Genomic DNA, 12,337 nt, shown 5'->3' with positions numbered 1-12,337 from the left:
TGTTCTCGGCCTTTCATAGGTATTAATGCATTTAATCCTCACAGTGGCCCTCTGAGTTAAGTGCTGTAACTATCCCCTTTCACACACGAAGAAACTGAAGCACAGAGAGGTACGTAACTTATGGAAAAACACACAGCTGACACACAGCAGATTTGAAACTGAAGCCAAGAAGTCTGGCTCTAGAGCATGAATAAATCAGAAAAGGGAAGTGTGCTGTATTATAAATTTATGTTAAAAGCATAACAACCAAAGTTTCTGTTATTCTGGTGTAAAATGTCTTTTCTGTTGTGCATTTTGCATGTCTTTGAACAGCAAGATCCATGGATTTCTCTCTTTTTCTTAGAAAATTTGGGGAATTACATGCTGGGTTTGCTGGCTCATGCCTATAATTGTAGCACTTTGGGAGGCTGAGGTGGGCAGATCACTTGAGGCCAGTTCGGGACCATCCTGGCCAACATGGTGAAACCCTGTCTCTACTAAAAATGCAAAAATTAGCCAGGCATGGTGGCACATGCCTGTAATCACAGCTACTCGGGAGGCTGAGGCAGGAGAATCACTTGAACCCAGGGGGAGGGGGAAGGGGAGGCAGAGGTTGCAGTGAGCTGAGATCGCCCCCACTGCACTCCAGCCTGGGCGACGGAGAGAGACTCTGTCAAAAAAAGACAAACAACAACAAGAAGAAGAAAAGAAAAGATGGGAAATTACATAATGTTTTTCCTTAATTGTTCTAAATATGAATCCCTGCAGCTGTCACGGGATGTGCCCACATTCATAGCATTTCACTCTGCCCTGTGGTTTACAAGAAGGTGAAATTGTGCTTTACCAAGTGGGCACCTCCTTCATTAAAAGCAAGGTAGAGAGCTGCACATTTAAGGAACCACAAGTAGTGCAAAAAGGCTGGGTCTTGGTTTTCAGGAAGTCTCAGCAGGCAAGTCACGAGGCCAGAGAGGTAGACAGGGGTCAGGTTACAGAGAAGCTTCCATTTCATGTCAGAAACGATGCAGAATGTTTGCAAGATTTTAAAAGGAGAGAAACAGAGACTGATTTGAGCTTTAGCAAAAGTATATTGGATGCTGTATGGTGAGATAGATTAAAAAGAGACAAAACTAGGCCGGGCGTGGTGACTCACTCCTGTAATCAATCGCAGCACTTTGGGAGGCCGAAGCAGGCAGATCACTTGAGGCCAGGAGTTCAAGACCAGCCTGGCCAACATGGTGAAACTCCGTCTCCACGAAAAATACAAAACATTAGCTGGGTGTGGTGCCACATGCCTGTAATCCCAGCTACTTGGGAGGCTGAGACACAAGAATTGCTTGACCTGGGAGACCAAGGTTGCAGTGAGCCAAGATCGAGCCATTGCACTCCAGCCTGGGCCACAGAGTGAGACCTTGTCTCAAAATAAATAAATAAATTAGAGACAAAAGTGGAAGAAAAAGCAGTTGCTAGGACCCTCTTCTAGTTGTCATGGTGAGAATCCATAAGAACCTGACCTAAGACAGAGGCAGTGGGAATGGTGAGAGGCAGATGCACGTAAAATTGAATGTAGACTAGAGTTGGTGATTGAATAACTGTAGGAGATGACAGAGAAAGAGGAGACAAGGGTGACTCTCAGCTTTCTGGACTGGAAGACTGATAGGAAGAGGCACTTTTTATTGGGTAGAGAATATGGAAGAAAGGGCAAGGGACCAGGAGAGGGATCGGATCCAGTACCAAGACATACGCCCTGACCTACTGCACACATGCAAGAAATGGCTAGAGAAAATAACAAGGACTCAGGACGGGAAACAAGGGGCTGGCTGCAGAAAGAAGGGGCTGTGTCAATGAGACATTGTCTGTCTAAGATACTAGACAGGGGACTCCAGGCTGCTGCTTCTGCCTGCATGAAAAGTGGGGCCCACACCTGCTGCAACCTGACCACGCAGACCACATATGAGAAAAGGAGGCCAAAGCTGGGCCAAACAGGATGTCATCATCAGTGAACCCATCCCTGGGGCGCCTGCTGCCAAAGGAGATAGAGGAGGGTGACACTTGGGGAAGTGGAGCCTCGGGGCCAGAATCTGGAAGGAAAGCAATGCTCCGCACTGGAGAGCACAGGCAGCAGCACACAGTGGGGAGGCAAGCTGAGCAGCGCAAGGCAAAGACGCCGCAGAGGACAAACTGCCCAGCCAGGATTCCCCGCACTGTGGACTGGGACGCTCTGCTGGACTGAGGTGGGGCCTCGCAGAGGCTGAAATGAGCCAGAACGCTGGGACACAAATCAAATCCCTCCATGCTGAAGGGTCCATGGTGTTGACTGCTGGCTACTTACTGTCACCACCACCTAAGGAATCTTGGGTGGTCAGTTTCCCAAAGATCAAAACTGTGACACCATGGCCTTTTTCTCTTTTCTTTTCTTTTCTTTCTCTCTCTCCTTCCTTCTTTGCTTCTTTCTTTCTTTCGTCTTTCTTTCTTTTTTCTTTCTTCTTTCTTTCTCTTTCTTCTTTTTCTTCTTTCTTTCTTTCCTTTATCTTTAAAGCAAATCATAAACTTTTAGATCCAAGTTACTGAAAACTTCTTTATATAAGTTTAATTTACATTTCTCTTTCAAATTGTATCTTTATTGGGACCCTCAATTCTTTTTTTTTTTTTTTTTTTTTTTTTTTGAGACGGAGTCTCGCTCTGTCGCCTAGGCTGGAGTGCAGTGGTGCGATCTCAGCTCACTGCAGCATCCTGGGTTCAGGTGATTCTCCTGCCTCAGCCTCCCGAGTAGCTGGGACTACAGGCATGTGCCACCACGCCTAGCTAATTTTTTGTATTTTTAGTAGAGACAGGGTTTCACCATGTTGACCAGGCTGGTCTCAAACTCCTGGCCTCAGGAGATCCGCCTGCCTCAGCCTCCCAAAGTGCTGGGATTACAGGCATGAGCCACCGTGCCTGGCTTCAATTCTCATTTTATTTAAAAATTCTTCCTTGGCTCTGGAGACCTGTCATGCTTCTGACTGTCTCTCCTGATTCTGTGTGTGTGTATGTGTGTGTTTGTTTTATTTTAAGTTCAGATATGCATGTGCAGGTTTGTTACATAGGTAAACTTGTGTCATGGGGGTTTGGTGTACAAATGATTTCATCACCCAGGTATTAAGTCTAGTACCCATTAGTTGTTTTTCCTGATCCTCTCCCCGTTCCCACTCACCATGGCCTTTCTTATCCTACCTTTCCCATTAGTATTTCAACTCCATAGTGAGAGTTCAGGCATAACACATATTGTTAGTCAAATCAGTGATTTATTTATTCATCAAATAGATATTAAGCTTCACTATATGTCAGGCATTGTGGTTATCACTGGAGATACACTGGTAACTAACACAGACAGTGGAATATAAAACTGACCAATTCCACCTGCATGACCCTGGGTACGTCATTTCAACTGGGAACATCAATTTACCACCTAGGAAATGTCTAAGACCCTCCCAACTCAACCCCGTCCTACATCTCCCTTACATTATTCATTCAACGTATATAAATTAAGCAAATGCTATGCGTGCAACTATATTTTACTCCAAGCCAAAACACATGGCAAAGGGCTATTTCCTGGTTTGGGGATTGATAGAGAAAGTCTTACAAATATATAAACACTGAGATAGAATTATATATTCAATAAATCATCTTTATTATAAAGAACACAATAATAAGAGATAGAGACTAGGTCAGGAGGTTCATCATGTTATAATCATCATGTACTAGGATTTGGTTTAAATCAACCAACGAGACATGGTCTGGAGTTGGTTTACAATCTGAGAAGACACTCTAAAAAATCTACCATTATAGGATTGGTATGAGGATCAAATATAATAAGTTGTGGTACAGGACGTGTAGCGTGTGGTACCTAGAGTCAGACTACCTGGATGTGAATCCCTGCTCTGCTAGTCATCAGCTTTACGGCCTTCGGAAAATTGCTTAACCTCTATTTACTTTGGTTTCTTCACCTGTTCAACTAAGAAAGTATACTGGTAACTAAATCATAGGGTTGTTTTGAAGACAGTTCAAACATGTAAATCCATATTATGGAAATCAGCACATGGTGATCACTCGATAAATATTACTTATTGTGAACTAAAATTTGTGTAGTTGCTAATCTATCATTAGTACAAAATCAAAGTTTGTTTCCAAACTCCCACATTGCCTTTATTAAACTATAAATTTCTTGAGAAAAAGAAACTAAAATAAAATCAACAGGACATGGTCTAGGTTTTTGAAGAGCAAATTACATAGGTAACTAATTATAACACACTGTACTGTAATCACAGAGATAGAGGATGTCCCTTATCAGAACACTGACTGATTCAGCAGTTTCCATTTCCTTTTCTCACTCTCCACAACTCACAGAAGCCAGCTCCCAGAAAAGGAATCACGAGTATGGAGGGGGTTCCCCTAAGAAGTGAGTGAGGGAACGCAATTCAGGGTATCAACGAGAGCTGAGAGGCAGAGGGTGGGGTGAGAAGGAGTCATTGCCTGTGATGTAGGTTTCTAATGAGACAAGTGGCAGAGATACCTTTATTTGGAATTGGTAGCAATAGGGGAAGATACGTGGATGCCAAAGCTCTGATGAAACCTACCACGGCCCCTGATCTTGCCTCTGCTTCTCCTCCCTCAAGACTGGCACTAGCCATCACTGGGGTGGAATGGAAACAGAGCTCATGTGTATTAAAAGACCTAACTCTAAAGACACTCAGGAAGGACAGAATTTCAAAGGCGTGGTCCCACTTGGCTTCTGTCCTCCGTTGTTCTCCAGCATCAAGTGTGTCAACTCTAACCCCTTTGGGGGGAATTCAAGGCCTGTCCTGGTTTGGTCCCAATTTACCTTTATCATCCATATTCACCCCCACTGCTCTGCAGCTCCACTGAAGCACCCCCTCTTTCCTCTGAGCCACAATGTCACACCCAGGACTCTGCCTCAGCTGGGCCTCCACTGCCCACCCATCTATAGATGCCTAAATCCCGGGCAGTTATCCAGACACAACTAAAGTTCCATCCCTTCCATGAAGCCTTCCCCAACCCTCTGGTGGAAGGTCACTTCTTCCTCATGGGGTTCTGAGCTTTCATTTCTTTTTCTACTAAGAGTTTTACAATTACCTGTTCATACACTCTACCTGCCCCCATGAGACCAGGGGCATCTCAGAAACAAAGATCATTAAAACCAACTAAATCTATTTCTCATTATAAAATGAGATATGCTGATTGATTGCAAAATAATAAAATAACAAAGTATGGAAAAGAAAAAAAAAAGCATATAATCTGGCTGAGAAGGTAGAGACCCTTCCACACCACTGAAATTATGTGTTGAAAAGAATAAGGAAAAAACTGCTTCAGTTTGGCATTATTTATGTAAGTATAGTATAGGATCCTTAAAATGGTTCAAAGAAATGGGAAATCAAGACTTCATTTTGGCAAAGCCCATTGAACAGAAACTGTAGCATATTTATCAGTAATTTCTTTCAGATTAAACAACTGACAACAACCCACTTTTCAACCAGTGATGTTGGAAATGTTTTAAAACAAAATTAGTTCATAAATTTGTGGGTTGACCAAGAAGGTAATAAAGTCTCACTAAATAAAATGAGGAAAATTCAGAAAAAGAAAAAAATAAGAAAATAAATCACCCATGGATCTAAGCACTATTCATTCTTTAAGGCATGTATTTCCAAGCCTTTTAATTTTTTCCATGCCTAGAGTTGGCATGGCATATATATATCTTTATACAATTCTTCAAATTTTATAGAATTTGTATAATGTTTTATCTTGCTTTTTTTTTAACCACTGATGTTATAAGCATATTTATGCCACTTCATTCACGTTAGAGACTTAATAATAAAGGATCTTGTGGATAATTTATCATTCCCTGATAGAGAAAAATTTAGCTTTGCTTATTTTAGAGTTATAAATGATGCTGGGTCAGGTATCTTTATGTTTGAAGATGGCTCCATATTTGGGTTGTTTCCACAGAACTCTTTCCCAGAAATGCTTTTTCTAGGTTAATGGCTACACATATTTCTAGGCACCTGACATACTGACACCCACCTCTAAAGTATTTTTATGATCCACAACTAGCGTTTAACACAGCGCCCCAGTCACTCCGAGACTAATAAATAGACAAATGACTGAAACGTGACCTCATGCTTTCTATTCCTCCAGCTTTCATTGAGTTCCTTTCCTCTGGGAGGACTGGGGGTTGTCTAGCCCTCCACAGCATCAGCCCATTGACCCTATCCTTGTGGTTATAGCAGCTGAGGAAGCAGAATTACAGCTCTGTGGGAAGGAATGGGGCTGGAGAGTTCATGCATAGACCAATTCTTTTTTTTTTTTTTTTTTGAGATGGAGTTTCACTTTTGTTGCCCAGGCTGGAGTGCAATGGCATGATCTCAGCTCACCACAGCCCCCACCTCCTGGGTTCAAGCGATTCTCCTGCCCTCAGCCTCCCGAGTAGCTGGGATTACAGGCATGTGCCACCACGCCTGACTACTTTTGTATTTTTAGTAGAGATGGAGTTTCTCTTTCTTGGTCAGGTTGGTCTCAAACTCCTGACCTCAGGTGATCTGCAGCCTCGGCCTCCCAAAGTGTTGGGATTACAGGTGTGAGCGACCATGCCTGGCTGCATAGACCAGTTCTTATGAGAAGGGATCAACTAAGAATAGCCTTGGGTTGACACACACCCCTCTTCACACTCACAGGAGAAACCCCATGAAGCTAGAACCAGTCATGAGTTGAGAGCTGAGAGTTAGAGAGTAGCTCAGAGATGCTATTCTTGGATATCCTGAGCCCCTGTGGTCACCAGGGACCCTGAGTTGTGCAACACTCAGCATGACAGCATCACTACACTTAAAAATTTCCCTCCTCACCCCCAGATTCCATTTCCCCATCCGCCAGGGCTGCCTATAAAGAGGAGAGATGGCTTCAGACATCAGAAGGACGCAGGCAGCAAAGAGTAGTCAGTCCCTTCTTGGCTCTGCTGACACTCGAGCCCACATTCCATCACCTGCTCCCAATCATGCAGGTCTCCACTGCTGCCCTTGCCGTCCTCCTCTGCACCATGGCTCTCTGCAACCAGGTCCTCTCTGCACCACGTGAGTCCATGTTGTTGTTGTGGGTATCACCACTCTCTGGCCATGGTTAGACCACATCAGTCTTTTTTTGTGGCCTGAGAGCCCCGAAGAGAAAAGAAGGAAGTTCTTAAAGCGCTGCCAAACACCTTGGTCTTTTTCTTCACAACTTTTATTTTTATCTCTAGAAGGGGTCTTAGCCCTCCTAGTCTCCAGGTATGAGAATCTAGGCAGGGGCAGGGGAGTTACAGTCCCTTGTACAGATAGAAAAACAGGGTTCAAAACGAATCAGTTTGCAAGAGGCAGAATCCAGGGCTGCTTACTTCCCAGTGGGGTCTGTTCTTCACTCTCCAGCTCACCCTAGGTCTCCCAGGAGCCCTGTCCCTTGGATGTCTTATGAGAGATGTCCAGGGCTTCTCTTGGGCTGGGGTATGACTTCTTGAACCGACAAAATTCCATGAAGAGAGCTAAGAGAACAGTCCATTCAGGTATCTGGATCACATAGAGAAACAGAGAACCCACTATGAAGAGTCAAGGGGAAAGAGGAATATAGACAGAAACAAAGAGACATTTCTCTGCAAAACCCCCCAAATGCCTTGCAGTCACTTGGTCTGAGCAAGCCTGCCCTCCTCAACCACTCAGGGATCAGAAGCTGCCTGGCCTTTTCTTCTGAGCTGTGACTCGGGCTTATTCTCTCCTTTCTCCGCAGTTGCTGCTGACACGCCGACCGCCTGCTGCTTCAGCTACACCTCCCGACAGATTCCACAGAATTTCATAGCTGACTACTTTGAGACGAGCAGCCAGTGCTCCAAGCCCAGTGTCATGTAAGTGCCAGTCTTCCTGCTCACCTCTAGGGAGGTAGGGAGTGTCAGGGTGGGGGCAGAAACAGGCCAGAAGGCCATCCTGGAAAGGCCCAGCCTTCAGGAGCCTATCGGGGATACAGGACGCAGGGCACTGAGGTGTGACCTGACTTGGGGCTGGAGTGAGGTGGGTGTTACAGAGTCAGGAAGGGCTGCCCCAGGCCAGAGGAAAGGGACAGGAAGAAGGAGGCAGCAGGACACTCTGAGGGCCCCCTTGCCTGGAGTCACTGAGAGAAGCTCTCTAGACGGAGATAGGCAGGGGGCCCCTGAGAGAGGAGCAGGCCTTGAGCTGCCCAGGACAGAGAGCAGGATGTCAGGGCCATGGTGGGCCCAGGATTCCCCGGCTGGATTCCCCAGTGCTTAACTCTTCCTCCCTTCTCCACAGCTTCCTAACCAAGAGAGGCCGGCAGGTCTGTGCTGACCCCAGTGAGGAGTGGGTCCAGAAATACGTCAGTGACCTGGAGCTGAGTGCCTGAGGGGTCCAGAAGCTTCGAGGCCCAGCGACCTCAGTGGGCCCAGTGGGGAGGAGCAGGAGCCTGAGCCTTGGGAACATGCGTGTGACCTCCACAGCTACCTCTTCTATGGACTGGTTATTGCCAAACAGCCACACTGTGGGACTCTTCTTAACTTAAATTTTAATTTATTTATACTATTTAGTTTTTATAATTTATTTTTGATTTCACAGTGTGTTTGTGATTGTTTGCTCTGAGAGTTCCCCCTGTCCCCTCCACCTTCCCTCACAGTGTGTCTGGTGACAACCGAGTGGCTGTCATCGGCCTGTGTAGGCAGTCATGGCACCAAAGCCACCAGACTGACAAATGTGTATCAGATGCTTTTGTTCAGGGCTGTGATCGGCCTGGGGAAATAATAAAGATGTTCTTTTAAACGGTAAACCAGTATTGAGTTTGGTTTTGTTTTTCTGGCAAATCAAAATCACTGGTTAAGAGGAATCATAGGCAAAGATTAGGAAGAGGTGAAATGGAGGGAAATTGGGAGAGATGGGGAGCGCTGCGACAGAGTTATCCACTTCACAAAATTCTGGAACATTGAAACTACGAATATGTTATAACTCAAATCGTAATATGCACGCTCTAGGAGAATTAACTACTTGAATGGCCACCATTAAGCAGAGTATTCTGTAGGGCATATTCATGATGAATCAAGCTCTTAATAGCAATTATTTACATTGTTGAGGCTTACTCCTCCTACTGAGTGCTTTTTATACATTGTTCATTTAATCTTACCAATGCAATAGTACAGCTTAGGTACTATTAATACCTCCACTTGACAGAAAAGTAACCCAGGGCTCAGAAAGGTTAGACAACTTGGCTGAGGTTACACAGCACGTAAACGGTCAATTGTGTTCCAAAACTGGACTTTTATTGAACTACAGACTATGCTGTTAACCATTGACCAAGTTATTTCCCAAAGTATGACCCGCCTATACTCAAATCTTACCCCATTCTTTAACAGATGATACTTTATCCATTGCAACCACTTCCTGTCAGGATTCTGAGTTGACATAGAGTGTTTCAGCAGTGATTATTTAAGCCAATTACATCAGGATCTTTAGGTGTAGACCTGGGAACTGATATTTTTATCAAGCTCATGAGGTGTTCCATAGCATGTTAATGACTGAGAGCCACTGTCAATAGAATTCACCACTGTTTTCTAAATGTGGTAAGTCTCTGCATATGGCAACAGGTGTATTATACATTATTTCTCTAGAATCTACACTCTACAAAATAAATAGCTAATGTTAGAGAATGAAAAGACAACCAGCTTCTGTGTGGAGCAGGATGCTGTCTATAGGTTTGAAAGGTAAGTTATTTAATAGATGGATTGCTTGCATTATATGTACAAGAAATGCATACTAAGCTAGGGTCCTTTTTGCAGAAGAAAGGGAAATTCAAAATATTTGTGTGAAAACCAAACGTGTTAATTTTTATGAGCTATGCTTATTTCATTTTGTTTAAAATAATCTAATTTCTGTGTCCAAACATGTTTAGAATTGTAGGGCTCAAACTCTTTAAAGCATAATTAAACACTACTACTTAGCAGATATTAAAATGCACATACTATGTGACCTACATCCCATTTGACCTGATCCCATTTCTAGGAATCTGCTTCATAGAAACACTGCCAAAAGATAAGAATATGTAGACATGAGGATATTCTTTCAAGTATGGTTGGTAAAGAGCAAAGAAATGCAAACAGTCATCAGTAGGGGATTAATAAGTAGAGGATTAAGATGTCCATCAATGGAATATTCTGCAGTCAGTAAACAAAAGCAGCACACATCTATAACTGTGGAAAGTGTCCTCAATATTCTAGGTAAAATGCATATCTATTTACATTCAGTATATGCATATATATTCTCTACATATGCTACAAAACTGTCTGTAAAGGATATTATTTTGTTTTTATTTTTAAAAGCCATATACACACATATATTTACATAGGCAAATATTTGGAAAGACACACATCAAATAGCTAACTGTCGTTTCTTTGAGGAAATGAGGCTTTTTTTAAATTTTTTTAGGAATGAGGGTTTTTCCTTTTTATATTCTGCACTTTTAAAACTTTGAGTTATTTTCTGATTAGCTTGCATAGCTTACCTCTCTGGTCTCATCTTACCCTGTTCTTTGATGGGTGATATTCCATCCATCACAACCACTTTCTGGTAGGGATTCTGAGTTGATGCAGAGAGAATAGAGCTCAGCCTGGCTTACAGCATTTTGATGCCATGATGGCTTTCGTATAATGAGGGTACAGCAACAAACACATCCTTTTGACAAGGCTGTTCTCTGTCTCTCTCTTACACACACACACACACACACACACACACACACACACACACGAGCAGCTTTTGTCCCCATAGATGCAGTGAAGGTGTCATCATTCCTTCTTTATTGACTTTCAGGAAAAAAATATAGGGGAATACAATATTTGCCTGCACTGAATTGTTTCACAAGGTCCAGAAACCCAAAGCTAAACAAAGTTTAATCATGCCCAATATTCCCTAAATACAAGTGTTATGAACAAACAGAGTAAGTTAAACACAGACTCCTGTTAGGGAACTGGAGAATGGGAATTGCATTTTTAAGCAGTTCAGCTGATCTGGCAGTCCCTAGCTCTCCTCCCTGGGGGAATGTCCTCCACGGACAATCTGAGATGTGCAATGTGGAGGATCTGCTTTCTGGAGGCTGCTGACTTCCTGTCTGTGTGAGTTAGCCTGAGGTTGCCTTAGGTATTGTGTAATCAGCGACTGTTTGGAACCAGTCTTGTGGTTTCTTTGGCAATGTGACTCCCTTCTAATGTCCATAGGCTACTATTTGCTTCTGATCAATTCCATGGGCCAGGTAGCCAGAAGCAGAGATGTTTTCAGTTACAAAGCTCGAATTTGCATTTTAAATGGGGTTGGGGATAGGCACTTTCTTTTTTCTTTTCTTTTTTTTTTTTTTTTTGAGATGGAGTCTTGTACTGTCTCCTGGGCTGGAGTGCAATGGTGTGATCTTGGCTCACTGCAACCTCAGCCTCCTGGGTTCAAGAGATTCTCCTGCCTCAGCTTCCCAAGTAGCTGAGATTACAGGTGCCTGCCACCAAATCTGGCTAAATTTTTGGATTTTTAGTAGAGACGGGGTTTCACTATGTTGGCCAGGCTGGTCTTGAACTCATGACCTCGTGATCCACCTGCCTCAGCCTCCCAAAGTGCTGGGATTACAGGTGTGAGCCACCGCGCCCAGCCAGGGATGTGCACTTTCTAGCACAGACCTCACTACCAGTGTCACCTCTACCACCAAGTCCCTGGTGAGAGACCTCTGCCTGCATCTTGGCCCATGTGGAGGTGATGAATATTTGACCCTTGGCCTCATTAGGTCTCTCATCTTCCTGTCTCTGCTCATGCTAACTTTATCTTAGAGTAGAAAATTCTGCCATTACAGCCCTTCAAGTCTCCAGATTACTGGGTTCTCAGTCAATAAGTTGGAAGGGCCTTTTTTAGCAAGTTCAATTTCTTCCTTTTTCAATTTCAGATGAGCCCATTTCAAAGCAGCCTAAACTCTTTCTTAAAGGACCTTACTGATGTAATACATAGCTACTAAGTTCCAATATTCAGAATCTTCTTTTTTTTTTTTCTTTTTTGAGACGAAGTCTTGCTCTGTCGCCCAGGCTGGAGTGGAGTGCAGTAGCGCGATCTCAGCCCAGTGCAAGTTCCGCCTCCCAGGTTCACGCCATTCTCCTGCCTCAGCCTCCCAAGTAGCTGGGACTACAGGTGCCCACCACTACGCCCGGCTAATTTTTTGTATTTTTAGTAGAGACGGGGTTTCACCATGTTAGCCAGGATGGTCTTGATCTCCTGACCTCGTGATCTGCCTGCCTCGGCCTCCCAAAGTGCTGGGATTA

General features: G+C 43.9%; 1 protein-coding gene and 1 long non-coding RNA gene across 2 annotated transcripts; one reads left to right on the top strand and one right to left on the bottom strand.

The window, feature by feature from the left end:
• CCL3L3 (C-C motif chemokine ligand 3 like 3) lies at positions 6,937 to 8,826 on the top strand. Its single transcript, NM_001001437.4, has 3 exons — positions 6,937 to 7,097; positions 7,783 to 7,897; positions 8,319 to 8,826. Exons 1-3 carry the CDS (start codon positions 7,022 to 7,024, stop codon positions 8,407 to 8,409), a joined length of 282 nt encoding a protein of 93 aa, NP_001001437.2. The 5' UTR covers positions 6,937 to 7,021; the 3' UTR covers positions 8,410 to 8,826.
• Positions 7,228 to 10,863, bottom strand: LOC128966706 (uncharacterized). The gene is made up of 2 exons (XR_008485584.1): positions 10,552 to 10,863; positions 7,228 to 7,565 (listed from the first exon to the last, which is right to left on the bottom strand). It is a non-coding gene; the product is annotated as an uncharacterized LOC128966706 (long non-coding RNA).
• Between the last annotated feature and the right edge of the window lie 1,474 nt (positions 10,864 to 12,337).

This window comes from Homo sapiens, chromosome 17 (assembly GCF_000001405.40).
Source record: "Homo sapiens chromosome 17, GRCh38.p14 Primary Assembly".
Lineage (NCBI taxonomy): Eukaryota > Metazoa > Chordata > Mammalia > Primates > Hominidae > Homo > Homo sapiens.
Note: the sequence above shows the minus strand (reverse complement) of the source record. Positions and strands in the feature narration are given on the sequence as shown.

Excerpts from the sequence above, each read along its gene's own strand:
- CCL3L3 (NM_001001437.4), top strand. The coding sequence starts at position 7,022 with ATGCAGGTCTCCACTGCTGCCCTTGCCGTCCTCCTCTGCACCATGGCT. Across the intron at positions 7,098-7,782 it reads CCAGGTCCTCTCTGCACCAC|TTGCTGCTGACACGCCGACC; the intron begins GTGAGTCCATGT and ends CTTTCTCCGCAG. Across the intron at positions 7,898-8,318 it reads TGCTCCAAGCCCAGTGTCAT|CTTCCTAACCAAGAGAGGCC; the intron begins GTAAGTGCCAGT and ends CCTTCTCCACAG.